Below are 27,989 nucleotides of genomic sequence, written 5' to 3' on the forward strand. Positions count from 1 at the left end.
GCCACTTTCCGGCCGGTGACAGAGTCCAGCGGAGTTGTGGGGGCCGGGGGCGCCATGGGAGCCACTGGCGACGCCGAGCAGCCGCGGGGACCTAGCGGGGCCGAGAGGGGCGGCTTGGAGCTGGGGGATGCGGGCGCAGCGGGGCAGCTGGTTCTTACGGTGAGGGCGCCCCCGGTGAGGTCTGGGCTCAGGCCGGGCACGGCCTCGGGGCTCCTGGGACCCTGGCCCGCGGGCGAGAGAACGCGGAGGCTGGAGCTGCAGAGGGGGTTGGCGTTTTCGCAGCCCGACGACCTGGATTTAAATTCTGGTGCCGCCCTCCTAGCTAGGTGACGTGGGCCATCTCTGTCAACCCCCTGAGTCCCAGGATCCTCTTCTATAAAATGGAAATGATTAGTACCTGTCTCATAAAACTTGTTGTGGGATGGGAAGATAAAGGCGGGTACAACGCCCCGGACATCACCTGACACAGAGTTGACCCTCGGTAAATACTGCTTCCCTTCCTCCTGCCGTGCCAGAAGGCAGGGTCGGGACTTTTAAGGCAGGAAACTTCCTCAGTTCCTCTTTTGTGGAGGAGGCCTTACAACTATCGTCCCACCCCAAGGCGGGAGAGATGGTGACGGATCTGAGAAGCAGGGATGTCCAGGTTTAACTTCATACCCACCCTCCACCTCCACCCCACCCCAGTGTCACAGGCCGCAGTGACATTTGTTCCGTTGGTCCCCACAGAACCCTTGGAACATAATGATAAAGCACCGGCAGGTGCAGCGGAGGGGCCGCCGCTCACAGATGACAACAAGGTAAGGCTGGCCCTGCATGGGGCTTATATCCCAGCCACTGGCTTGCATGGCAGATTTGGGATCCCCAGTGCACAAGGCTATGGAGATCTACAGCCGGTAGAAAGAGCACAGGACTGAGGAAGAGGAGACTCCGATTCTGTAACTCTGTGTGATCTTGAACTAGTCAAGTCACTTCCTTCTCTGAACTCACGTACAAAATGGGGAAGGGCACAGGAGATGGGTTGTGGAATAAACAATACCTAAGATCCCTCACATTCACTGGCTCTGTGGTTGAGGGCTCTAAAGAGGTCAGTTAGCATGGAGTTTAAGAGAACAGGCTCTGGAGTCAGACAACTGTGTTCTCATCAACAGACTCTGATGAGCCCGTTTTCTCAACTATAAAGAGGGATTAATAGTATGCATGTCAGGGAAGGGAGAGAGCACAAGGTGGGCCTTTGGGATGCTGATAGTGGTGAAATGGATGTTCACTATAATTACTCATTAAAGTGTATAGACTTTTCTGTATAAGTATTATATTTCATAAAAACACTTTGGGCCGGGCGCGGTGGCTCACGCCTGTAATCCCAGCACTTTGGGAGGCTGAGGTGGGTGGATCACCTGAGGTCGGGACTTCCAGAACAGCCTGACCAACATGGAGAAACCCCGTCTCTACTAAAAATAACAAAAAATTGGCCGGGCGCGGTGGCTCACGCCTGTAATCCCAGCACTTTGGGAGTCTGAGGCGGGCAGATCACCTGAGGTTGGGAGTTCGAGACCAGCCTGACCAAAATGGAGAAACCCGGTCTCTACTAAAAATACAAAAATTAGCCGGGCGTGGTGGTGCACACCTGTAATCCCAGCTACTAAGGAGGCTGAGGCAGGAGAATTGCTTGAACCCAGGAGGCAGAGGTTGCAGTGAGCCAAAACCACGCCACTGCACTCCAGCCTGGGCAACAGAGTGAGACTCCGTCTCAAAAAAAAAAACTTTGAAAATAATATGCACTTCATAGAGTTATTATGAGAAAGAAATAAAGTCATGCCTCTGTGATTTGCACAAAATCTGAGCATGTAGCTAGTTTTCAATAAAAGCTGTCTAGTATTGTTAAGGAATTCTATGTCCATAATTAACTGGGGAGGCTGGGAAAGAATATGTTTGGGACATGCCCCCTCACCCTGTCTCCCTCCTGAATGCAGTTTCACAGATCCTGCCATCTCCATGGATCTCCTCCGAGCTGTCCTGCAGCCCAGCATCAACGAGGAGATCCAGACTGTCTTCAACAAGTACATGAAGGTGAGAGGGACACAGGATAAAAAATAACAGGAGAAAGACTCATGAGGAGCCCAGTCCTTGCCTGCATCACCAGTCTGTCTCTTTCCTACATACAGATATCTAAAGTTTTCCTTTCTTGTTGTTTTTGTTTTGTTTTGTTTTGTGTTTTTGAGACAGATTCTCACTCTGTCACCCAGGCTGGAGTGCAGTGGCACAATATCGATTCACCGCAACCTCCACTTCCCAGGTTCCAGCGATTCTCATGCCTCAGCCTCCCTAGTGGCTGGGATTACAGGTGCCCACCACCTTGCAGGGCTAATTTTTGTATTTTTAGTAGAGACGGGGTTTCACTGTTGGCCAGGCTGGTCTCGAACTCCTGACCTCAAATGATTTGCCTGCCTTGGCCTCCCAAAGTGCTGGGATTATAGGTGTGAGCCAGGGCACCTGGTCAGTTTTCAAATTTTTAATCCCCCAAGAATTTTATTCCCTCCTTGAGGGTAATTCAGATACCTTTTTTTTTTAAAATCTGCCCTTGTCACGCACGTGGTTTTTTTTGCTGACCTCTTATAAGGATGAAGTGACTTAAATGTACTGTGCTGAGCACTGTGCTCCAGACATAACAAGTGTCCAATAAGTATTCTTATTAGTTGTTTAATAATATAACCATTATTGGGGCCATGCACAGTGGCTCACACCTGCAACCCCAGCACTTTGGGAGGCCGAGGCAGGATCACTTGAGGCCAGGAGTTTGAGAACAGCCTGGGCAACACAGTGGGACCTCATCTCTACTAAAAAAAAAAAAAAATTTTTTTTTTTTTTTTTGAGACAGAGTCTCACTCTGTCGCCAGGCTGGAGTGCAGTGGCACGGTCTTGGCTCACTGCAACCTCCGCCTCCTGGGTTCAAGCAGTTCTCTGCCCCAGCCTCCCAAGTAGCTGGGATTACAGGCATCCGCCACCACGCCCAGCTAATTTTTTGTATTTTTAGTAGAGACGGGGTTTCACCGTGTTAGCCAGGATGGTCTCGATCTCCTGACCTCGTGATCCGCCCACCTCGGCCTCGCAAAGTGCTGGGATTACAGGTGTGAGCCACCGCGCCCGTCCTGATTTTTTGCACTATTTACACCTCAATCTGTTGGGCACCCCCACGATTATATCCGTAAGAGGGGGAATAAAGGGAGGAGGTCAAGCCTGAAATGTGAATCTAAATCTGGCTGATCCCAAAGCCCTGCTCATAATCACTTTTCCCTTCTGTATGAAGCTAGGATAAAGACTTATTTTATATTCAGTTTCCTTCAGGTTGATGCACATTAACAGGACTCTGACCTTGTCCTCTGTTGTGCTCCCCTAGTTCTTCCAGAAGGCAGCACTGAACGTGCGAGACAATGTTGGGGAGGAGGTGGACGCAGAGCAGCTGATCCAGGAAGCCTGTCGGAGCTGCCTGGAGCAGGTGAGACCAAAGGGGACAAGAGATGCAGGCACAAGGTTTAGCTCTCGAGCCTCTGATAAGAAATGCGATCTTAAGCCGGACGTGGTGGCTCACACATGTAATCCCAGCACTGTGGGAGGCCAAGGTGGGCAGATCACTCAAGGCCAGGAGTTTGAGACCAGCTTGGGCAACGTGGCTAAACCCCATCTCTACAAACAATACGAAAATTAGCTGGGCATGGTGGTGCACGCCTATAATCCTAGCTGCTTGGGAGCCATAGGCACGAGAATCGCTTGAACCTGGGAGACAGAGGTTGCGGTGAGCCGAGATGGCACCACTACACTCCAGCCTGGGTGAAAGAGCAAGATTCTGTCTCAAAAACAAACAAAAAAAGAAATGTGATCTTGTCATCAGTGGTATTTTGGGGAATGCCCAGCAAGCCACATATTGAGATAGGCTTGAGGCTGTTGCTGACAGGGAAAGGAAGGGAAGTAGCTACTATATGTCAGGTACCAGGATAAATGCATTATTTTTTTTTATGTCTCAGAAGAAACTATGTACAGAAGATATCTTTTAATTACTATTTTATAGATGAAGAAATTGTGACTTAGCAAACTCATAGAAGCAGAGAGTAGAATGGCAGTAGCTGGAGGGGAGAAGTGGGGGGATGTTAATCAAAGGGTACAAACTTTTAGTTATAAGATGAACAAGTTCTGGGCAATCTGATGTACAGCATGATGACTATAGTTTATCTCTATTGTTTACTTGAAATTTGCTAAGACCATAGATCTTAAGTGTCCACACACAAAATGGTAGTGGTGGATGTGTTGATTGATTTCATTGTGGTAATCATTTCACTATGTATATCTATGTCAATTCATCACATTGTACACCTTGAATATATACCATTTCTGTTTATCAATTATACATCAATAGAGCTAGAAAAAAATTTTTAAAAGCAAAGCAAAAAAAAAAAAAGAAATGGCTTAAGACACATAATAATTAGAATAGCTAAGATCTGTCTCACCCCTGCAGGTGCGTGGTGGATCAAGTTATCATGGCCCCATTTGGTATCATGGGGATGAGCACCCTGCTGCCTCCCTGCCTCTCTGGTGTGGTCAGGAAGCATGACATCAGGTCTATAAATGACTGTTCCCAAGATAGTAGAGAACCTGTTTACATGTGTCAGCTGCTGTTATTAGGAGGAATTGTTGCCATCACCATTTTATAGGGAGACATCAGGAAAGGTCGCCAATAGTCGCTGGCTCACTTTCTCACCTCCTATTCATTCTCTTCACTTTGTTTTCGCTTCAGTCCCCACTACTTCACTGGAACCCCTCTTGTCGGGGTCGCTAGTAACTTCCGTGTTGTCAAACCCTCTGGTCCCTAACTGTCCTCAACTTACTCAGCTTCTCAGTGACATCTGTCACAATGGATCATTTCGCGTTTCTTGGAATGCTCCTCTGTTGGCTAGAGTGCCTTGACTTTGCTCCAACCTCATTGCCTACTCTTCTCTCTCACCCCCCGCCTCTAACTGTTGGTGCCTTCCCAAGTTCAGTCCTCAAACCCCTTCTCTTTCATGGCTCACTGTTTTCATAGGTGTTTTCATCTAGTCCTGTGGCTTGGAAGCCAATTCAGCCGCTCATAATTCACACATTTATATCTCAGTCCAGAGTTACATTCACCGTTACCCAGTTCCAATCCACTCTTCTCACAGCAGCCAGACTGATCTCCGTAAAGATGAATTAGATCATGTCACTCCCCATTTTAAAAACCCTTCAGTGACTTTCCTGTTGCAGGGAGAATAAAGTCTTAATGCCTTACCATGATCCTGCTGGGAAAACTGGCTAGCCATATGTAGAAAGCCGAAACTGGATCCCTTCCTTACACCTTATACAAAAATTAATTCAAGATGGATTAAAGACTTAAATGTTAGACCTAAAACCATAAAAACCCTAGAAGAAAACCTAGGCAATACCATTCAGGACATAGGCATGGGCAAGGACTTCATGACTAAAACACCAAAAGGAATGGCAACAAAAGCCAAAATTGACAAATGGGATCTAATTAAACTAAAGAGCTTCTGCACAGCAAAAGAAATGACCATCAGAGTGAACAGGCAACCTACAGAATGGGAGAAAATTTTTGCAATCTACTCATCTGACAAAGGGCTAATACCCAGAATCTACAATGAACTCTAACAAATTTACAAGAAAAAAACAAGCAACCCCATCAACAAGTGGCCAAAGGACATGAACAGACACTCCTCAAAAGAAGACATTTATGCAGCCAAAAGACACATGAAAAAATGCTCATCATCACTGGCCATCAGAGAAATGCAAATCAAAACCACAATGAGATACCATCTTACACCAGTTAGAATGGTGATCATTAAAAAGTCAGGAAACAACAGGTGCTGGAGAGGATGTGGAGAAATAGGAACACTTTTACACTGTTGGTGGGACCGTAAACTAGTTCAACCATTGTGGAAGTCAGTGTGGCGATTCCTCAGGGATCTAGAACTAGAAATACCATTTGACCCAGCCATCCCATTACTGGGTATATACCCAAAGGAATATAAATCATGCTGCTATAAAGACACATGCACACATATGTTTATTGTGGCACTATTCACAATAGCAAAGACTTGGAACCAACCCAAATGTCCAACAATGATAGACTGGATTAAGAAAATGTGGCACATATATACCATGGAATACTATGCAGCCATAAAAAGTGATGAGTTCATGTCCTTTTTAGGGACATGGATGAAGCTGGAAACCATCATTCTCAGCAAACTATCACAAGGACAAAAAACCAAACACCGCATGTTCTCACTCATGGGTGGGAATTGAACAATGAGAACACATGGACACAGGAAAGGGAACATCAGACACCGGGGCCTGTCGTGGGGTTGGGGGAGGGGGGAGGGATAGCATTAGGAGATATACCTAATGTTAAATGACGAGTTACTGGGTGCAGCACACCAACAAGGCACATGTATACATATGTAACAAACCTGCATGTTGTGCACATGTACCCTAAAACTTAAAGTATAATTTAAAAAAAAATGCCTTACCATGACCCACAGAGCCTACCCTCGACTGGCTTCTGCCTGCTTCTTTAACTTCATTTCATCTCACCTCTTTTTTATTGACTATACTCTGGCTGTTCTGAACTCCTTTCTGCTCCTCCAGCACAAGCTTAGGCCATTTCACTTGCTGTTCTTAGTACCTGGGGTACTCTACCCTTAACTCTATAAAGCCGGCTCCTTCTTTTCTTCAGATCTTAGTTTAAATATCAGAGAGGTCTTCCCCTCGCACTCCTACCTCTGCTAAAATCTTGAGCTTTACAAGAGTTGAGGCCTAATCTTGTTCACCACTGTATTCCCAGCCCTGGAATATGACTCTTAGTATGTGTACAGAGTTTGCTGAATTATTGAGTAAATGAAGGAACAAACAAATGATAAATGAACAAACAAGCTTCCTGCTCTAATAGAACTTAACAGCCTACTTAAGCAGACAGGTGTGAATTAGATTACCAACAAATGTGTGCATAATTACACATTGAGACTTGATCACCCTTCACTGGAAAGGGACAAAGTTTGGAGGAGAAGAGCATGAATCCAATTATGGATTAGCAGCTTTGAGCCATCCAAGCATAGACATGGGGCAGACTATTTGGTATATAAGTCTAGAGCTCAGAGGATAACCTTTTGTCTACAGTTGAATTATGGAATCGTGGTTTATAGATGTTAATTGAAGCTGTGAGAATAGGTGAGAGCAGATAGAATATGTAATGAGAGAGGATAGGGAAAAGAACCAGATTGAGAAGGAAAAGCCAGCAAAGAAGGCTAAGAAAGAACGGCCAGAGAAGTAGAAGGAACACAGGAAGTGTGGCCACAGGAGCCTGTAGAAAAGAGTGTTTCCAGAAGGGGGAGCCCTCAGCACTGTCAAATGCCACTGGCAGAGGTCGGGTGAACCCAATTCTCCACCTGCTGCACCATCTCCCCTCTGCCCATTCCATCCTTTTCTTTGTCAAATGAGCCAGGTGTTCCCACCTTTGAGCTTCTGCACTCCTCCCTGCTGCTGAAACACTTCTGCCCAGCTTTTTTTACAGCCTCCTTCACATCTCAACTCAGAGGCCACCTTCTGAGCAAGGCCTTCCCTGGCCATTCCCGCAAAGTAGCCCTTCCCCTCTGGTGGTTCTCTGTCACATCTGCCTGGGTTTTTTTCTTTTTTTCTCACAGCATCTATCATGATCCACAGTTACCTTGTTTGTTTCTGTGCTTATTATCCAGATCACCCACAAACTATAAGCTCCACAAGAGCTTGTCCTAGTTACTGCTGTGTCCACAGCACTTAGGTCCCAGGTACTCAGTATTTATTAAAAGAAAAACAGCAGGCCAGGCGCACTGGCTCACGCCTGTAATCCCAACACTTTGGGAGGCTGAGGCGGGCAGATCACGAGGTCAGAAGTGTGAGACTAGCCTAGCCAACGTGATAAAACCCCATCTCTACTAAAAATACCAAAAAAAAAAAAAAAAAAAATTAGCTGGGTGTGGTTGCACGCCTGTAATCCCAGCTACTCAGGAGGCAGAGGCAGGAGAATTGCTTGAACCTGGGAGGCGGAGATTGCAGACAGCCGAGATCGCACCACTGTACTCCAGTCTGGGCAACAGAGCAAGATTCCATGTCAAAAAAAAAAAGAAAAAAGAAAAACAGCAGCTTACTGAGGAGTATGTGTTATACTAATGTATTTAGTTTGAAAAAACATACAGTATGTATTTACATGGGAAAAGCAAGGAAGAATTTACATTGAAACATTAATAGTAGTTTATGTAATGAGATTCCAGGTTTTTCTTATTTTGCTTTTTTACATTTTTTAATTTTTCCAGCCATGATCATTAATTCAAGTTTTTTTAAAAATAGATATCTATTTCTATGCATATAAATATATATATGTGTGTGGCTGGGCGTGGTGGCTCATGCCTGTAATCGCAGCACTTTGGGAGGCCAAGGCAGGTGGATCACCTGAGGTTAAGAGTTCGAGACCAGCCTGGCCAACATGGTGAAACCCCGTTTCTAATAAAAATACAAAAATTAGCTGGGCATGGTGGTGGGCACCTGTAATCTCAGCTGCCTGGGAGGCTGAGGCAGGAGAATCGCTTGAACCCAGGAGGCGGAGGTTGCAGTGAGCTGAGATAGCACCACTGCACTCCAGCCTGGGCGACAAGAGTGAAACTCCATCTCAATTTAAAAAAAAAAAAAAAATATATATATATATATATATATATATATATATATATATATATATATATATATATATATATATTTGGAAGTGGGCCGATCACTTGAGGTCAGGAGTTCAAGACCAGCCTGTCCAACATGGTGAAATCCCGTCTCTTCCAAAAATACAAAAATTAGCTGGGTATGGTGGCGCACCCCTGTAGTCCCAGCTACTTTGGAGGCTGAGGCATGAGAATCACTTGAACCCAGGAGATGGAGGTTGCAGAGAGCCAAGATGGTGCTGCTGCACTCCAGCCTGAGCAACAGAGCAAGACTCTGTCTCCAAAAAAAAAAAAGGAAGTAGGTAGGGTGTGCTTACCCACCAAAATAGTGACTGGTAACACTTGGTCTTTTTCCCTTCAGGCTAAACTGCTCTTTTCAGATGGAGAAAAAGTAATACCCAGATTGACCCATGAGCTTCCAGGAATAAAGGTCAGAGTCACTGTGTTCTCGGGTATTGGAGCGGGAGGTCCTTCAGGCTGGGAGGCAAGTGAAATATGTGGGCCCAGGGAGGTTCCATGTACTTCCATTTGTAGGACCAGGCCCACACAGCATCATGCTGGATGGGCTTCTTTGGCCTGGGTCAGAGCGGGGCTGGAGAGCTGTAGTCCAGGGCTGTCTTCTGCAACTCCAGAAGACCTGCAGCTCCCAGGCACTGGCCTTCCACTGACTCCCTTCCCTTTTCTTTTAGCGTGGCCGTCAGGCAGAAGAAGAATGTGCCCATCGAGGAAGCCCCCTTCCTAAAAAGGTAAACCATTTCCTTGTTTTGTTTTCTGGCTGAAAAAAGGCTTGTCAGGCCGGGTGTGGTGGCTCACACCTGTAATCCCAACACTTTGGGAGGCCAAGCGGGGAGGATCACTTGAGCTCAGGAGTTTTGAGACCAGTCTGGGTAACATAGTGAGACCCTGTCTCTAAAATAAAAAAAAAATTAGCCAGGCATGCTGGCACATTTCTGTCGTCCTAGCTACATGAGAGGCTGCAGTGGGAGGATCACCTGAGCCCAGGAGTTCAAGGCTGTAGTGAGCTATGATCATGCCACTGCACTCCAGGCTGAGTAACAGAGTAAGACCCTGTCTCTCAAAAAAGGCTCTTCACTCCGCAAGGTACTGGGCTTCCTCAAAGCCCTTTTGAGCCTTCCTAGACATGAGAGGCAGTTTTTCTCCCTGTCCCTGTCAAACATCATTTGATCTCTTTGGAAAACCATCTCTGCCAAGTGACCCTGGACCTGCCAATGGGGTATGGGGAGTAACCACAGGGTCAGACCTCTGACAGCTGTTTTTTGTGGCAGAGGAAAGGACGGCCTCCTGGACACATCCTGTCAAGCGACCGGGCAGCCGCCGGCATGGTGTGAGTAGGGACCAACAGTGTGGTGAGAGCATAGGGGAGCAGACGGAGAGAGGGGCCCTGAAGGAAAAGAGTCCAGGGTTCTGTGCCTGTCAAAATCAGATCCATCAGCTTAAGTCATCGTGGAGGGGGGTTATCCTGGTTGGAGGGGTGAGGAAGGAGGGTAGTGAGGAGGAAATTGTTTTACCCCCTGAACGGTTTGGCCCAGCTTGATGAAAGATTAAACTCCAGAGGTTTGTCATTGTTAGTATATATTGGATGCTTATGACTGGTCTAAATACGTTACATACTTTACCTTTTAATCTTTATAGCCACCCTGTAAAGAAGATATCATTAATTTTTCAGATAACAGACTCAGAGAATTACTTGCCTAATGTCATATCGTTAACATTGCCTCCAAGACGGTCATTTTCAAATATATATTTTTTTAAGACTTAATTTTTTTAGAGCAGTTTTAGGTTCACAGCAAAATTGAGAGGAAGGTACAGACATATCCCGTATACTCCCTGACCCTACACATGCACAGCCTCCCCCATTATCGACATCAGGCACCAGAGTGGTACATTTGTTACATTTGATGAGCCTACTTTGACTCGTCTTGATCCTCAGAGTGCATAGTTTCCATGAGGGTTCACTCTTGGTATTGTACATGAACTTAGACAAATGCATAGTGACAGGCATCCACCATTCTAGTATCACACTGAGTGCTTTCAGTGCCCTAAAAATCCTCTGTGTTCTGCCTGTTCATCCTTCCTTCCCCCTCAACCAACCCCCAACCCCACTTTTTAAAAAAAATTCTGAAGCAGCAGAATCTTTTTCAAACAAAACTTTACATGGGAGCCCAGTATTTAAATCAAATAAAGCCACACTGGTCTGGTTCAGGGGCGTGGGGTTAGTTTGGAACAGCTGGCTTAGTAGATGGGCTAGTATTAACTGTCATACCTTAGATGTGTCTCCTACACGAAGCAGTTTTATTCCTCACAAACACAAGATAGGTAGGGCAGTTGCTGTTTTTGTCTCTTTTGACAGATGAGAAAACTGCCACTCAGAGGTTCTTGGAGTTGCTCATGCCACTATGTAAGAGCAGAGCTAGTGCTAGAATGGCTTCTAGTCCAGTGCTTTTTTTCCCTTTGTTCCTCCTCTTATGTGTCACCACGAAGGAGGATGTCCAGGGCTAAAGTGAGAGTGTGTGAGGAACTCCTACCACCACCAGCAAGCTGGCATTTAGTCCTAGGTCTCACCTTGGAGAATTCACCTTTATTCTTTCCTTCCAAGCAGATGGAAACCAAAATCCTGTGAACCAATTCGCCGGGAAGGCCCCAAGGTATGATTATGTGAGCATGGCAGAGATCACGATCCCAGGAGATAGTCCCACTATCTCTAGGACCCACCATGAGGGAAAGGGGCAGGGGGCGAAGGGTGCATGCACACCATTCCAGAGCCATCTGCCCCTCTCCACCTCCAGCCACACTGGCCTCAGAGAGGATCCTGTGTAGGAATTGGAGTTAGAGGCAAAACAAAGAGAGGGCTTGAGTCTTTGCTGAAGCCTTCTCCTTATAGGAGTTAGTGGTCACTAATACTGATTCAATACTTAGTATGTAACGGGCAGTGTCCTAAATCTTTTGTGTAGACCATCTCATTTAATCTTTATAACAAACTTATGAGATCAATTCTGTGAACCATTCTATAAATGAGGCGTTTCCTTTTCTGCCAGCTTCCCTGTGGGCATAAATTATTTTATTCAGTTGTCTTATACACTTAATGCACTTAAGACTTGCCCAAAGTCACATAACTCGTAAGTGATCGAGCTGAGTCTCAAACCCAAGACCCGCTGACACCAGAGTCTGTGCTCTCAACCATTAGCCTCTGTTGCCTCCCTCTCTCTCCTGAGTTCTTCCTCAGCAGTGACTTATATAAATGGTTGTTCCCCAGAATTCTCTCCTTGGCCCACTTCTCCATCTAAAGTAACTCTCTGGATAATCTAAAACATATACTCTTATGGTTTCAGGGACCACCATGTTCTAAAACTCCCATACCTCTTTGTCCATCCCATGCCTCTTTCTACTTTAAAACTTGTTTATCCTACTATCTGCTTGACCACTCTGCTGGAAGTTTCATAGGCATTTCAGACTCAGCATATCCAAACATGAAATTAGAATCTTTCCTCACAGCCCTTCTTTACATTCGTTATCTTAATCATCTTTGCCTCCTCCTCCTCTTCCTTACCTCCCTACACCCAGTCGAGTCCTGGACAATTCTTCCTCTTAAATATATTGCAGTTCCTATTTCCTTCTGTTCATCCTTACTGCTGCCCTAGCTCAGGCCCTTAGCAGCTTTCCAACTGCTTTATCACAGCGGCCTCTAAACTGCTCTCCCTGCCTGTAGTCTTGCCCCTTCAAATCCATTATCCACATTGCTAGAAGACTAAGCTATCTTTAAAGGAAATCTGACTCTCACTCCCTGTTTAGAGGCCTTCAGCGATTCCCCATTGCCTACAGAAGAAATAAAATGCAGTCCCCTGAACATAACCTCCTAAGACCTCCAACTCCTCTGTGTTTCTCTCTCCAGCCCCATCAGCTGCCACTCCCTAATTTGTACTCTCTCTGTTAGCAGCACAGAATTACTAGTAGTTTCTCCAGCAGGCCAAGCTGCCTCTCACCTGTCTTTGCTCATGCTGCCCCCTGTCTGGAATGCCCTTGTTCCTGACCCCCTTTACCCCAACTTGTGCTCACCCTTTCAGAATTAACTTGGGAAATGCCTCTCTAAGGAAGCCTTCCTGGCTGGACCCTCCCCTCGGCAGCCCTCAGACCCTGCACTCACTTGTGTCCTTGCCTCATCGCACAATGGTGTAATTATCTGTACATATGTTGGTGGCATCCTAGAAAACAGAGACTGTATCTTATTCATCTCTTTATCCCCAGTATCTAGCACAGACAGGGCCTAGCATATTGTGAGTACTCAGTGTCTTGGGTCAACTGTTGATTAAATAATAGACAAGGGGAAGGGTTAGAAAAGGGTAGGGGGAGGAGTGTTTCTGTCCTACCCATCAGATTAAACTTCACCCTCACGAGCTTCTCTATTTTTTGCACAGTGGGACCCAGCTCGCCTGAATGAATCTACCACCTTTGTGTTGGGATCTCGAGCCAACAAGTAAGTTTAAGAGCTTTGGCACTGATTGAGGAAACAGCTCAGGAGTTCACTAGTAGGACTACACTTTCTGGAATCTTGACCACTTGGCTTTTACTTTTCAGAGCCCTGGGGATGGGGGGCACCAGAGGAAGAATCTACATCAAGCACCCACACCTCTTTAAGGTAGGTGACTGCTGGGAGGAAAGCAGGCCATTGCATTGGGAGTAGACTGGGAACTCCACTCAGCACAGAGAAGCTTAGAACAAACACTGATCTTGGAGTCAGGACATCTGGGTTCTAGTTGTGCCTCTGCCATTCACCTTTCCCTTTCATGATTTACTCAACACCTCTGTGCCTCAGTAATAACAGCTACTTTGCTTGCATGCTTACTGGGTGCCAAACACAGTTTTAAATCCCACACTTATATTATCTTAAAAAATAAGTATTGCCATCCTTATTTCACAAATTTGAAACAATCAGAGGTTGAGAAAGGCTGAGTGACTTGCCCACAGTTATTCAGCTAGAAATGGTGAGTCAGGATTCAAATCCAGGTCTGTCCTCACCAAAGCCTGAGCTCTTAACCACTACCATATTTGGTTGTCTGTAAATTAGAGTTTGGGCCAGGTGCGTGAGCTCACACCTGTAATCCCAGCACTTTGGGAGGCCAAGGCGGGTGGATCACCTGAAGTTGGGAGTTCGAGACCAGCCTGACCAACATGGAGAAACCCTGTCTCTACTAAAAATACAAAATTAGCTGGCATGGTGGCTCATGCCTATAATTCCAGCTACTCAGGAGGCTGAGGCAGGAGAATCGCTTGAACCCAGGAGGCGGAGGTTGTGGTGAGCCGAGATCACACTGCCCTCATATTTGCATTTTAAAATAACTCTGGGGTCTGGCACAGTGGCTCACGCCTGTAATCCCAGCACTTTGGGAGGCTGAGGCTGGCGGATCACCTGAAGTCGGGAGTTCGAGACCAGCCTGACCAACATGGAGAAACCCCGTCTCTACTAAAAATACAAAAATTAGCTGGGCATGATGGCGCATGCCTGTTATCCCAGCTATTCAGGAGGCTGAGGCAGGAGAATCGCTTAAACCCAGGAGGCAGAGGTTGCAGTGAGCCAAGATCTCACCATTGCACTCCAGCCTGGGCAACAGAGCAAAACTCCATCTCAAAAAAAAAAAAATAGAGTTTGGAGCAAGGCAGGGTCCTGTGCCTTTTCAAAGAGGGTACTCCTCTTCTGAGAGCAGCTATGTTTTGGTCCCCACTGTTTGAGGGAATAATGGAGGAAATCATAAACTCACTCACCCTCTTAGATGATTTTGTATTTTATCAGTCACGAGAGCATCGAAGTAGATTAGAAGAATAGCAGTGCATGTGTGTTCCACACATGGTTTTTTGCACTTATACGTAAGGCTTGGCACCTCTTGCCAGAACTGCACAGCCCTGTGGGATCCCAGAATCACGGGCTTTCTCTACCACATTCTGTGCAAGTTTTCAAGTTCTTTGAAAGGCATACCTGCTCACGCTTCTTCTCCAGTCTGATATCCTCGAGTCCCAACACTTAAACAGTTTGCCCAGTGGCTCCTTTGTTTTCCTCTCTTAATGTCGTCACTCTTGCTATTCCCATTGCCTGGGTGGCCTTTCTCTCCCACCCTTATCTGCCTGACTATTCTTTAAGATCCACCTCCTCCAAGAGCTTTGTTTGTATCATCCCCAAAATCAATATGCTTTTGGACCTACTTTGAATTCCCACTTCAGCGTGGTTTAAAGTATGGCTTCAGGCCTGGTTCCATTATTTTACTAGCTGCATGAACTTGAACAAATGGCTCCACATTTGTTTTTCTTTTTTCTTTTTTTTTAACTAGCTCAAGTCTGGGAATTGATCCACATTTCTGAGTCTGTTTTTGTCCTGTATAAAATGAGAATAGTGATAGACCAACCATTTTTTTTTTTCTGAGACGGAGTCTTGCTCTGTCACCCAGGCTGGAGTGCAGTGGCGCGATCTCAGCTCACCGCATCCTCCACCTCCTGGGTTCAAGCAATTGTCTGCCTCAGCCTCCCGAGTAGCTGGGATTACAGGTGCCCACCACCATGCCCGGCTAATTTTTGTATTTTTAGTAGAGATGGGGTTTCACCATCTTGGCCAGGCTGCTCTCAAACTCCTGAGCTCAGATGATCCACAGCCTCAGCCTCCCAAAGTGCTGGAATTATAGACTTGAGCCACTGCACCTGGCCCAACTTTACAAATTCTCTATTAGTGATTATAAGTATCTTTTCAGTCATTTAGAATCTATTTGTATTTCTTCTGTAAGCTGCCTGTTATATCTTTTGCCCATTTTTCTCTCCTTCAGAAGGCATTATTCAAATTCTTTTCCTTTTTTAAATGTTTTGATTATAGAAATAATATATAAACCCATTCCCGTGGTAAAAAGATTCAGACGATACACAGGAGGTAGTAGAGAGCAAAACACAGTTTCTCAGCCAGGTGCAGTGACTCACGCCTGTAATCCCAGCACTTTGGGAGCCCGAGGCAGGCGGGTCACCTGAGGTCAGGAGTTCAAGGCCAGCCTGGCCAACATGGTGAAACCCCATCTCTACTAAAAGTACAAAAATTAGCCGGGCATGGTGGTGCACTCCTGTAGTCCTAGCTACTCTACTCGGGAGGCTGAGGCAGGAGAATTGCCTAAACCCAGGAGGCAGAGGTTTCAGTGAGCCGAGATCACGCCACTGCACTCCAACCTGGGCGACAGAGCAATACTCTGTCTCAAAAAATATATATATCAGTTTCTCTTCACTCCTCGATTTTTTTTTTAAGGTGCTTAAATTCTGGTTTCTAGGTGCCCAACCTAGAATAGAAACCAGAATTTAAGCCTTATTTGGGTTGAGCACAGTAGCTCATACCTGTAATCCCAACACTTTGGGAGACTGAGTGGGTGGATCAGTTGAGGCCAGGAGTTCAAAACCAGCCTGGCCAACATGGCAAAACCCCATCTCTACTAAAAATACAAAAATCAGCTGGGTGTGTTGGCACGTGCCTGTAATCCCAGCTATTCAAGGCTGAAGCAGAAGAATAGCTTGAACCCAGGAGGTGGAGGTTGCGGTGAGCCAAGATCATGCCACTGCACTCTAGTCTGAACAACAGAGCGAGACGTCATCTCAATAAATAAATAAACAGCCAGGCACGGTGGCTCACACCTGTAATCCCAGCACTTTGGGAGCCCGAGGTGGGCAGATCACCTGAGGTCGGGAGTTCAAGACCAGCCTGACCAACATGGAGAAATCCCATCTCTACTAAAAATACAAAATTAGCCGGGCGTGGTGGCGCATGCCTGTAGTGCCAGCTACTTGGGAGGCTGAGGCAGGAGAATCGCTTGAACCCAGGAGGCGGAGGTTGTGATGAAGCAAGATCATGCCATTGCACTCCAGCCTGGGCAACAAGAGTGAAACTCCGTCTCAATCGATCAATCAATCAATCAATCAATAAACCAACCAACCTTATTTGTAACTCCAAAACCGAATTCTTAACCATGATGCTATTATGCGTCCGAGAGTACATGAGGTGTCCCGATTTTTGTTTTATTATGGTCACCATAATAATTACAGACGTTATAAGCCACCTCCGATCATTTTTTAAAAAGAGGAAGCTCTAAAATAATAGTTATCAGTCCCACCAGTTGCCCGGGGTGCTTTGTTGTGAGAAGGGGGTGGGGATTGGGAGTATACTAAGTCTCTGGGAATTGGGTCCCATGGTCTGCCCTCGGGGTTGGCTTAGCTTTCTCTGAAGAGATTAGTGAGCCCTCTAAGTCCACCACGCTTGGAGACAAGGACTTTTGGTAAGAACTGCTCAAGGGCCAAGAGTATGCTCTGGGACCAAATGAGAAAAGCCCCTTACCCGAGGCTAATTTTCTTACAACTTCATTCCTTACAGTATGCAGCTGACCCCCAGGATAAGCACTGGCTGGCTGAGCAGCATCACATGCGGGCAACAGGGGGCAAGATGGTAAGCATTATTCATTTGTGCCACTGCCAGTGACCCACCCCACCTGGGAACCAGGATTTTGGCTGTGGGTGACAGCCTACCTCCAAATCTGACTTCCAAAGCCTCACCAATGTGTGAGAAGAGAGACTTATAAGGCCTATTTCTTCATGCTGAAGAGCAAATTGTAATCTTCAGGTTCCCTTCCCTATCCCTAGGTCTCCCTTCCGCCCCCTCACACTTTTACCTCATGCCTCCAAGATCACATATTTGGATACTATTAGCTGTCCATAGGAATAGCAGGTATAAGACACACAGTACTACTTTTTCCCACTACTGCACCCACTGACAGATTTCACTCATTGATCACTCTTCCACCAGACACAGCTATAGAATCTTTTCTCAACACAGTACTTGAGGCAGCAACCCTTGTCAGTAGGAGTTAGCAATGAAATGTGTTTGCACACTTGGCAGCCCCTTCCAGATTTACCTCTACTTGAAGAGTTCTCAGATCATATGAAACAGCAACCTTAGGAAAATCATCATTGCATGTGTTCAAAAACTATTGTTGAGGGCTTTGTCCATCACACACAATGTCCCCCACCTGAGGACTCACTCACTCCCACCACAGGTACTGCTCCTTTTAGAATCTAAGTGCCTTACAAACTGATATGCCATCTCCTTTCTGGCAGTGAGAGCTACCTTTTATTTTATTTTACTACTCTATTTATGCCTATGCTTTACTTCAAAAAAGATTTCAGGTAAGCTTCATGCACATAAAATGCAACATTACATAAATAAGAAATAGATGGTAGGGGGTGGGGGCAGGACCTAAAATTAAGCCACCAGTAAAAGTAGTTCTTTAAAAAAAAAAAGTGTTTTTTATATTGCTGACCTGGGAGACCTGTGCACTTCTACAGATGTTGGCAAATTCAGCTGTAGGCCCCACTCATGGACACCTGATCTGTTATGGTTCATAGTGCCCATAAGATGTAGACAAATTACTCAAGGAATACACAATTATTCCTGACCCTAACATTAGAAAGTCTCCCACAGAAGACTTTCTAATATGATGAATATCTCTTCCTATATGTTAAGTTCACAAAAGGGCCCTCACCCACTGTAGACCGAGGCATTGTGACAAAGCATTTCTACAGGCCCCAGTACAATACAGGCCAATTACTAGACAGCAGAGCAGTTTATCATGTTTTCCATTTTGCCACAAAGTTCAAAACCAAGTTATCTTTGTCCTCAGAGGGAGCACATGGTTTCCTCTTCCTGATTTCCTGTTTCCATATATATTTTGCTGGCTTTCTTGCCATTTTGTTATAACCCACCTTGGGTCCTTTCGTATACTTGATCTTAACCAAAAGGTGTAGGAGCAATGGTGGATCCCTTTTTTTTTCTTTTTTTCTTTTTTTTTTTTTTTTCTTAATTTTCACCACACCATTCAAGAGAGAAATGGGTCCTTTTTTAAAAGAGAAGGCTATAAATAAGTCACCAGTCCCTACTCTCCCATCCATGAAGCATCTACTGTAGTAAAAGATTGTCTCAAGGAACCATTCCCATCCCTCCCCACTTACTCTTCCGTACTAAATTGTAAACCGCATCCCCCGCTTCCACCTAGTAGCAGGCCTTACATTAAACAGATGTTTAATGAAGTGTTACTGAGTTGGAGTGAAATGAATCAGGCAATGACCACTCTCCCTTGCTCCTGCCTCAGGCCTACCTCCTCATCGAGGAGGACATCCGGGACCTTGCGGCCAGTGATGATTACAGGTAAAACCAGTGGGTCTCCTGCCCCTTCTCCTCTCCCTGCCTCCAAATAGCCCCTAGAATGAGGCAGGGCCTACATCCTCACTTCCCCCAACTTCTCTCTTCAATGTCTGTTCCAGAGGATGCCTGGATCTGAAGCTAGAGGAATTGAAATCCTTTGTCCTACCCTCCTGGATGGTGGAGAAGATGAGAAAGTATATGGAGACACTACGGACAGAGAATGAGCATCGTGCTGTTGAAGCACCTCCACAGACCTGAGGCCGGGTCCCCTGGCCACACTTGGCAGCCCTCCTCCAAAGCCCTCTTCCTCACGTGGCTGAGGCCACCGCTGGGACTGCTCCTAGATGGATCTCAGCGGCATTAAGCTGTGCCTGAGCGAGTTTGTAGTGACTCACTGCACAGCACCCCCAGACTAGCATGTGGTTCTATATTTGTAAAGTTATTGGGATAAGAAACAATTAAACAGTTTGTAGTAAACACAGATGGTGAACCTGCTGTGCCCTCTACCTTGTGGGAATTGACAGAACATCAAGGGCTCTAGAAGTGGGTGTAGGAAAAAAGGACGAGATAACCCTCACCCATAACAGTATAGAGCCAGGCTTGATAAGACCAACCTGGGAGCACCATGTACCCTGCCCGTCTTCCCTTTGCCCATTTGTAGTTTCCTTACCCAGCTAATGTAAGGACATGGCAGAATGCGATGGAGTTTGATGACAGATCATATGAAAAATAGAGTTGGCTTTTATTGCTCCCATTTTACAGGTTAAGATACTAAAGGACCCGCCCCAAGGTTACACACTACCCACTGGGGAGGTAGGATATACAGGATATGAACCTGTGTTGTTGGGGTTTTTGTTTGTTTGAAGACAGTCTTGCTCTGTTGCCCAGGCTAGAGTGCAGCCTCTGGCTCAAGCGATTCTCCCGCCTCAGCCTCGCCAGTAGCTGGGACTACAGGCTCGTGCCACCTCACCAGCCTTTTTTTTTTTTCTTTTCTTTTTTTTTTTTTTTCTTTTAAGTAGAGACAGGTCTCCCTATCCTGTTGCTCAGGCTGGTCTCGAACTCCTGGGTTCAAGTGATCCTCCTGCCTGGGCCTTCCAAAGTGTTCGGGATTACGGACGTGAGCCACTGCGACCAGCCTGAACCAATGTTGCCTTTTTTTATTTCTGTCATCTCTGCGGAGATGTATGGACCTATGTTTTCTAATAGGGAGCCTGCTGCTCTGGCCATCAGCCTTTAGTTTTTCCCCTCGCTGGGATTTTCAGATACTTAGGACGCAGCAAAGGTGCCCAGGCGATTATAATGGTGGGAGGGTACCAGTGCTGCAGGATTGGAGGCACTCCCTGCCCGAGGGAAATTGGATCAAGGCTGGGCGTGCCGAGTGTTCCCACGCGGAGTAAGACGTGTAGCCAGAAGGAGGGGTTCATCCCACGTGGACGTTTTCTTGGCCCTTTAATGGTTAGCGTTTTCCAACGGCCACCAATTCGCTACGGATTCGTTAGTTAATGGCAGCATCATCTACCAATCGGTTGTCAGAAGCGGGATTCTGCCGCCCAATAGCGGTGCGCCAGTGGGTAGGTCTAGCAGTGGCGCAGCAATAGAGCGCTCCGGAGCGTCTCATTGGCTGGATCAAACCCAAGCGAGCCATTGATTGGTCGACGCCCCCAGAGGGTTACAATTCAAACGCGGGCGGGCGGGCCCGCAGTCCTGCAGTTGCAGTCGTGTTCTCCGAGTTCCTGTCTCTCTGCCAACGCCGCCCGGATGGCTTCCCAAAACCGCGACCCAGCCGCCACTAGCGTCGCCGCCGCCCGTAAAGGAGCTGAGCCGAGCGGGGGCGCCGCCCGGGGTCCGGTGGGCAAAAGGTGAGTGATGCGGCCTACCACTCGCCGGGCCTGCCATGCCCTAGGCATTGGTACCCAGAGCAAAGATTTCTAGGACCACCCCCCGCCGCCACCTCCTGGAGCGGGAGATCTGCGGGTGCAGGAGAACACACCAGGAGCTCGGGGCCTGGCATTCCCCTGGGCATGGGTGTCGAGGGCGGAGACTTCCGGGACTCCCACCTCCTTGCGCGGGTGAGATTCGAGAGATGGGGGACAGGCCAGGAGCTCAGACCGCTCTTTGAGACTCTCCCGAAGGAGAATGGGAGGGTAGGGGCGCTGCCAGACTCCTTCCCTGGTGGGCCTAGATGAAGACGCTCAAGGACCCTCGTGACTTGGCCGAGACAGGGGAAGGGAGAAGTTGAGTCGGGCAAGGAAGAGATGCTAAAGCCTGGGGAATTAAGAACATGCCAGAATCATCCCGAGGGAGTCTGGAATTAGGGAGGGTGAGGACTCGCTAGGATCGTCCTGTGGATCTGGTGAGTATACCCTGAGCTGAGCCTGACCTTGGTGATGTGGGGAGCCTCCATGACGGCTCCCCCTGAGATTCAGGTGGGAGAAGATGCACCGTCTGGAGGCCTGGCCCATCCAGACTCCCAGGTAACCCCGAATACTCTTTTTTCAGGCTACAGCAGGAGCTGATGACCCTCATGGTGAGTGATTAAGTGCCCAGAACCCCAGCCTTCCATCCAATTTTCAGTAGCCTCCTTTTTTCCGTCAGCTTTTTTGCTAGACATAGGGGTAATGTAATTTGCTCCCTCCTGGGAAAGAAGTTCATACACCCCACCTACACCATTTCTTCCAGCAGTCCCTCCTCCCAATTCCATCCCCCCACACGAAGTTATCTCGAACACTTCCCTGAAGTCATACAAGACCCTCCCTATCCAGTGTGTCCCTACTTCCTAGCCCCAACCAAGCTTTACCCACACCCAACTCCCCGCCCTTCTTGGTATTTCTAGCCTATGAATTTGGTTGCTTTATTTTGGATCAGAGTGATGAGATTAAGGGGAGGCTGGGCGCGGTAGCTCACACCTTATAATCCCAACACTTTGGGGGGCTAAGGTGGGCGGATCACTTGAGGTCAGGAGTTCGAGACCAGCCTGGCCAACATTGCAAAACCCTGTCTCTACTAAAAATACAAAAATTATCCAGGCATGGTGGTGCATGCCTGTAATTTCAGCTACTCGGGAGGCTGAGGCACAAGAATCATTTGAACCGTGGAGACAGAGGTTGCGGTGAGCCGAGCGCACCACTGCACTCTAGCCTGGGCGACAGAGTGTGTGTGTGTGTCTGTCTCTGTCTATCTCTCTCTCTCAATCTCTCTCTCTCTCTCTCTATATATATATATATGTAAATATATATTTTTTAGTAGAGATGGCATAACCCCATCTATATCTCATATATATACACATATATATGTGTGTGTGTATACATATATATGTGTGTGTGTGTATGTGAGCATATATATATATATATATATATATATATAAAATTAAGGGGAAAGCTCACCCACTGACCTTTGCTATGCCCAAAAGTGTACTCCACATTCCAACAAATGTGTTTTCTCCCCAGATGTCTGGCGATAAAGGGATTTCTGCCTTCCCTGAATCAGACAACCTTTTCAAATGGGTAGGGACCATCCATGGAGCAGCTGGAACAGTAAGTGTAGGGCTGGGATGGGTGAGTGAGTCTGGGGAAAGGTGGGAAGTGAGATCCAAGTGCGAGCTCTGCTTCAAGCCTTTGGCGGAGCAAGACACTCCTCCTGTGACTGTTTACATTCTCTGAGCCATGTGGCCTTGTTCTTTCCCTCTGTGCAATAAAGGGTGGGTTTAAAGCAGGGCTGCCTATCTTAGATGTTTACATGGGGGGACAGACAGCAAGGAAATGGATGAAGTGAGGACTTTGGCCAATAGGGCCAGATCTCAAGAAGGCAGCTTCCCATTGCTGCAGATCAGGTTTAAGATGAGTCAGAAGTCCAAATCTGTGCCAAATCTAATTTTTACGTATTAGCAACTAATATTCTTTTTTTTTTTTTTTTGAGACGGAGTCTCGCTCTGTCGCCCAGGCCAGACTGCGGACTGCAGTGGCGCAATCTCGGCTCACTGCAAGCTCCGCTTCCCGGGTTCACGCCATTCTCCTGCCTCAGCCTCCGAGTAGCTGGGACTACAGGCGCCCGCCACCACGCCCGGCTAATTTTTTGTATTTTTAGTAGAGACGGGGTTTCACCTTGTTAGCCAGGATGGTCTCGATCTCCTGACCTCAAGATCCACCCGCCTCGGCCTCCCAAAGTGCTGGGATTACAGGCGTGAGCCACCACGCCCGGCCAGCAACTAATATTCTAATTGAACTAAAGCACAGGATGCCAATTTACAATCCTTAGACCAAAGAGTCACTGATGTCTCCACCAGATAAGAGGAAAGCATCAGGCTAGGCATAGTGGCTCACACCTGTAATCTCAGCACTTTGGGAGGCTGAGGCAGGCAGATCACATGAGCCCAGGAGTTTGAGACTGGCCTGGGCAACATGGTGAAACCCTGTCTCTAAAATAAAAACTAAACTAAAAAAACTTTTTAAAAAGGCAGTGGGGAGCATCAGAACCAGCTCAACAGTTTGTCTACTGTCCGGTCCCAGAGAAACTCAAGATTCTAGCAAGCCCCTTGTGTGGGGCTTGGGTTGGGACATGAGGCTGCTGCTGGAGCTTACTCTGCAACTGTTTCTCCAAATGCCAGGTATATGAAGACCTGAGGTATAAGCTCTCGCTAGAGTTCCCCAGTGGCTACCCTTACAATGCGCCCACAGTGAAGTTCCTCACGCCCTGCTATCACCCCAACGTGGACACCCAGGGTAACATATGCCTGGACATCCTGAAGGAAAAGTGGTCTGCCCTGTATGATGTCAGGACCATTCTGCTCTCCATCCAGAGCCTTCTAGGAGGTGACTTTAGAGACCACCCCTCCCCTCCATGCAACTTGGGAACCTGTCAGGACTCCCTGGGGTCAGCCTCTTCTACCGCCTTGACCTTCTCTTTCTCTCCACCCACAGAACCCAACATTGATAGTCCCTTGAACACACATGCTGCCGAGCTCTGGAAAAACCCCACAGGTGAGTCCTCAGTCCTTGAGCCCAGGGTGATCCCTCCCCCAACCTTCAAAGGCTCCCTCAAACAAAAGGAGCCCAGTGACTTGGGACCGGGTTGGTTGGGGCAGGGTGGAGTGTCGGCAGCAACCCACTTCTGTTTCTGCCCCAGTGCTCCTATTTGCTATAAAATAGCAATTGTTTTATAGCAGAATAAAAATGTTTGGCGATAAATAATTTTGGGAAATTATTGGTGAGACCAAGGCAGGAGGATAGCTTGAGGCCAGGAATTCAGTAGAGTGCCTTGCCTGTGCCCTCCAGTCTCACTGGAAGCAAGCCCTTCCAGGAGAGCTGCCTAGATGGGCAGTGCAGGGAGAATGCCGGGCTGGGAAACCAGCCCCTCCTCCACCTCCTCCGACCTTTGCATCCCTGGTCCAGCTGCCTCTTGCCCACCTTAATTCATCCTGGGCCAGGCACAGTGGCTCATGCCTGTAATCCTAGCACTTGGGGAGGCCGAGGTGGGTGGATCACATGAGGTCAGGAGTTTGAGACCAGCCTGGCCAACATGGTGAAACCCCGTCTCTACTAAATACAAAAAAAATTAACCGGGTATGGTGGTAGGCACCTGTAGTCCCAGCTACTCAGGAGGCTGAGGCAAGAGAATCACTTGAATCTAGGAAGCAGAGGTTGCAGTGAGCAGACATCATGCTATTGCACTCCAGCTTGGTCAACAGAGTGAGACTCCATCTCAAAAATAATAAATAGTAAAGATTAACTCATCCTGTCTCCATCACTCACTGAGACCTGCCTGTTCTCTTCCAGCTTTTAAGAAGTACCTGCAAGAAACCTACTCAAAGCAGGTCACCAGCCAGGAGCCCTGACCCAGGCTGCCCAGCCTGTCCTTGTGTCGTCTTTTTAATTTTTCCTTAGATGGTCTGTCCTTTTTGTGATTTCTGTATAGGACTCTTTATCTTGAGCTGTGGTATTTTTGTTTTGTTTTTGTCTTTTAAATTAAGCCTCGGTTGAGCCCTTGTATATTAAATAAATGCATTTTTGTCCTTTTTTAGACAAGTTGTTGCGTTGTAATTTCACTAGGGTTGGAGGTACTCAGGGTAGGCAGAGGTGGAACTTAAGGATGTGGGGCCAAGCAATGGGGTGACAAAGATTTATTCCCTTGTACCTTATTTTATGACTCTGCATCTGTTTCTTCATCTATAAAATGAGTGTCACAATAATGCCTCCTGTCTATGGAGTCGGTGATGTGTACCAGCAATGTTAGTGAATGTTGGAGCTCCCTCAGCTGTGTTGCAGATGAGGCTGAGCCAGACCTTAGGCTGAAACCTACTCCTATAGCTGTAGAAGGAACAAGCGTGTGTGTTGGGGGGGGGATCCCAACACACAGCCACCCATGTTCTGTCCTGAAGAAGAATGCTTAGGTCACCCTAAGCAGGTCCAGGGCCTGGGGAGACAGCCAGGAAAAAAGCCCCTTCCCTGGCAGGACTCAGGTCTGAGCTCTGGTCTCCAGGCTCTAGCCCAGGTCCCCGGTGGAGCTCCACCTCCAAGGGGGCACAGTCGCCTCCTGCTGCATATCCCCCAGGGAGCCCCCAGCCCCTTGGGCTGCCTCTTTCCCCTGGCCTGATGAAGGCTCCAGTCTTTGAGCCCCTAGGAGGAAACACCCCTGCTGACCAGCTGGGTCCCCACAAGGGTCGGCAGGTGGAAGAGTAGGTTGAAGTGATAGGGCCCCCACAAAGCCCTTCAGGAAGATCTCCAAGGTAGATAAGCAGCATCCAGATGTGCTCCAACCTTGCACCCAACTCCTTCAGGTCTGTTAGCAGCTGGTTGGTTGTGCAAGCCTGAAGCGGGAGGGGTTTGGGATTGGAAGTTGGGTCCCTTCATGTCTATAATTGTGCTCTTAGGTCTCTCCTCTTGGGTTTTTTCTTAATCTAACATTCATACAAATACACTTGGGATCTTGTTAAATTCTTTTCTGTAGGTGTGAAGTGGAGCCTAAGATCCAGTCTGTTTATTTATTTTGGTTTCTAAATAGTTTCCAAGTGATGTCATTGCTGCGGTCTGCTTAAGAACAAAATTTAGAGCAATGTTCTTAGAATGTGGTCCTTCCAGCAGCAGCAGCATCACCCGGAACTTGTTAGGCAAATTCTTGACCCCAAACTGCCCTCCAGGTTCTGAAGGTCTCCCACGGTTGAAAATCACTAGGTTAGCGGATACTGGAGAAAACCAGAGCTCAGAACCTGGCACTAAATTAGTCAATATATGCTGGCCAGGGCCGGGTGTGGTGGCTCACTCCCTGTAATCCTAGCACTCTGGGAGGCGGAGGCAGGAGGATTGATTGCTTGAACTTAAGAATTCAAGACCAGTCTGGGCAACACAGTGAGACCCCCATCTCAAATAATAAATTTTAAAAGAAAAATAAATAAATCTTGGCCGGGCCTGGTGGTTCACATCAGCAATCTCAACATCTTGGGAGGCCAAGGTGGGAGGATCACTTGGGGCCAGAAATTCAAGGTTATAGTAAGCTTATCACTCCAGCCTAGGCAGCAGAGTAAGACCTTATCTCTAAAAGAAATGTTTCGAATACTAACTGTGGTGGATGTGTTTTCATCTGCCATGTGGTCCTTGGTCACGGTGTTTGGTACCTTAGATGGCCACATGGCCTGCCTTGGGCCAGTCACAGGTCTAAACTGTAGTTCAGATTCAACTGGTGTTGTCTGGAATTAATCACTGGGAGAGAGTAAAGTTATTTTACTAATGGGGTTGCTAAAAGAGAAGGGAGTCAGTCTCAGCTGCTGGGGGAGCCCGCTGCAGACGGAAGAAAGCCAAGTAGAGACAAACAGCTGGGAGTCGGAGAGATGACATTAACTGAGACTCTGGCCTCCAGTTCATGCTTTGCCATCCCAGTTCGATAAACTAACAAATCCCTTTTTGGTTTAAGTCCGTTTGATTTAGATTTCTGGCACTTGCAACAGAAAGAAGCCTGGTCAGGAAGTATTTGAATTTCTGGTTATTATGATTCCCATTTTATTGAATTCCTACAAGACAAAGGCCCTCTGCTTGGGGCTGGGGACAAAACAGGGAAAATACAGCTCTGCCCTTAAAGAGGCTGGAATTTGGGGGACAGACAGGCCCATCAACAGCGGGGACTGCGGAATAAGTGCCATACAGCCCAGTTATTAAGCTCAGACCAGTCTGGGCACGGTGGCTCATGCCTGTAATCCCAGCACTTTGGGAAGCCAAAGCGGGTGGATCACCTGAGGTCAGGAGTTTGAGACCAGCCTGACCAACATAGTGAAACCCCGTTTCTACTAAAAATACAAAAAATTGGCCAGGCATGGTGGCGAGTGCCTGTAATCCCAGCTACTCGGGAGGCTACGGCAGAAGAATCGCTTGAACCTGGGAGGCGGAGATTGCAGTGAGCCGAGATCGTCCATTGCACTCCAGTCTAGGCAACAAGAGCAAGACTCCATCTCAAAAAAAAAAAAAAAGAAAAAGAAAAGCTCAGACCAGGTAAGCAGAACTGTTTCAGGATCCTGGCTCCACCTCCATGTTGCCCGTAAACATGTAGGCAGTTACATTTAACCTCTCCGTAAAATGAAAATACTGGTACCTACCTCATAAGACAGTGGAAGGACCTTAGAACAATGCCTGGCACATAGTAAGCACTGAATAAATGTTGGTGCTGAACTCACATATTGCTATGTAAGTTCACAGGTGGAGCACCCAATAGAATAGGAGGGTCAGGGAAAGGTTTTTGGAGAAGGAAATTGAGCCCTGAGGGAGATGCACATTCCTTGGATAGCAAGAAGTTCAGGAGTATGTAAGGAGAGGAATACAGAGCTAGGCGTGGTGGCTCACGCTTATAATCCCAGCACTTTGCAAGGCTAAGGCGGGCAGATCACCTGAGCTCAGGAATTCAAGACCACCCTGACCAACATGATGAAACCCCATCTCTACTAAAAATATAAAAATTAGCCGGGCATGGTGGCAGGCACCTGTAGTCTCAACTACTCAGGAGGCTGAGGTAGGAGAATCGCT

At 47.3% G+C, this 27,989-nt stretch overlaps 2 protein-coding genes across 10 annotated transcripts, besides 5 other annotated features; both read left to right on the forward strand.

Annotated features, from left to right (window-relative positions):
- On the forward strand, positions 4 to 19,468 carry DNTTIP1 (deoxynucleotidyltransferase terminal interacting protein 1). Of its 2 annotated transcripts, none has more exons than NM_052951.3 (13): positions 4 to 159; positions 727 to 797; positions 1,971 to 2,067; positions 3,395 to 3,493; positions 9,124 to 9,192; positions 9,452 to 9,508; positions 10,049 to 10,107; positions 11,383 to 11,428; positions 13,196 to 13,254; positions 13,356 to 13,416; positions 17,164 to 17,235; positions 18,935 to 18,990; positions 19,107 to 19,468. In NM_052951.3, exons 1-13 carry the CDS (start codon positions 55 to 57, stop codon positions 19,243 to 19,245), a joined length of 990 nt encoding a protein of 329 aa, NP_443183.1. In that variant the 5' UTR covers positions 4 to 54; the 3' UTR covers positions 19,246 to 19,468. The 2 variants fall into 2 exon arrangements, with proteins under 2 accessions (NP_443183.1, XP_024307591.1); XM_024451823.2 differs by lacking the exon at positions 4 to 159 and adding an exon at positions 238 to 326.
- Positions 87 to 356: a silencer, noted in NCBI's record as "silent region_12960". NCBI's record gives its function as "represses an Ori minimal core promoter by ATAC-STARR-seq in GM12878 lymphoblastoid cells {active_cell/tissue: GM12878}" and the evidence as "EXISTENCE:reporter gene assay evidence [ECO:0000049][PMID:35858748]".
- Positions 567 to 706: a silencer, noted in NCBI's record as "silent region_12961". NCBI's record gives its function as "represses an Ori minimal core promoter by ATAC-STARR-seq in GM12878 lymphoblastoid cells {active_cell/tissue: GM12878}" and the evidence as "EXISTENCE:reporter gene assay evidence [ECO:0000049][PMID:35858748]".
- Positions 18,300 to 18,469: an enhancer, noted in NCBI's record as "experimental_60428 CRE fragment used in MPRA reporter constructs". NCBI's record gives its function as "activates a minimal promoter by MPRAs in K562 erythroleukemia cells, with activity observed for the non-introgressed 20:44438974 variant allele {active_cell/tissue: K562}" and the evidence as "EXISTENCE:reporter gene assay evidence [ECO:0000049][PMID:34662402]".
- Positions 20,497 to 20,686: a silencer, noted in NCBI's record as "silent region_12962". NCBI's record gives its function as "represses an Ori minimal core promoter by ATAC-STARR-seq in GM12878 lymphoblastoid cells {active_cell/tissue: GM12878}" and the evidence as "EXISTENCE:reporter gene assay evidence [ECO:0000049][PMID:35858748]".
- Positions 20,694 to 25,002, forward strand: UBE2C (ubiquitin conjugating enzyme E2 C). 8 transcript variants are annotated; one of them, NR_104037.2, is made up of 6 exons: positions 20,694 to 20,846; positions 21,487 to 21,514; positions 22,434 to 22,443; positions 23,711 to 23,795; positions 23,904 to 23,963; positions 24,759 to 25,002. NR_104037.2 is itself a non-coding variant. In NM_181799.3 (6 exons), the coding sequence occupies exons 1-6, from the start codon at positions 20,746 to 20,748 to the stop codon at positions 24,815 to 24,817; spliced, it is 486 nt and encodes a 161-aa protein (NP_861515.1). In that variant the 5' UTR covers positions 20,694 to 20,745; the 3' UTR covers positions 24,818 to 25,002. The 8 variants fall into 8 exon arrangements, 6 of the variants coding, with proteins under 6 accessions (NP_861515.1, NP_008950.1, NP_001268671.1 ...); NM_181799.3 differs by lacking the exon at positions 23,711 to 23,795 and adding an exon at positions 23,440 to 23,590 and having other exon boundaries at positions 22,434 to 22,520; NM_007019.4 differs by having other exon boundaries at positions 22,434 to 22,520; positions 23,591 to 23,795.
- Positions 26,665 to 27,313: an enhancer, noted in NCBI's record as "H3K27ac hESC enhancer chr20:44447254-44447902 (GRCh37/hg19 assembly coordinates)". NCBI's record gives its function as "activates a minimal SCP1, AML or CMV promoter by ChIP-STARR-seq in primed H9 embryonic stem cells {active_cell/tissue: H9 hESC(primed)}" and the evidence as "EXISTENCE:reporter gene assay evidence [ECO:0000049][PMID:30033119]".

The sequence above is a fragment of the Homo sapiens genome, chromosome 20, assembly GCF_000001405.40.
Source record: "Homo sapiens chromosome 20, GRCh38.p14 Primary Assembly".
NCBI lineage: Eukaryota > Metazoa > Chordata > Mammalia > Primates > Hominidae > Homo > Homo sapiens.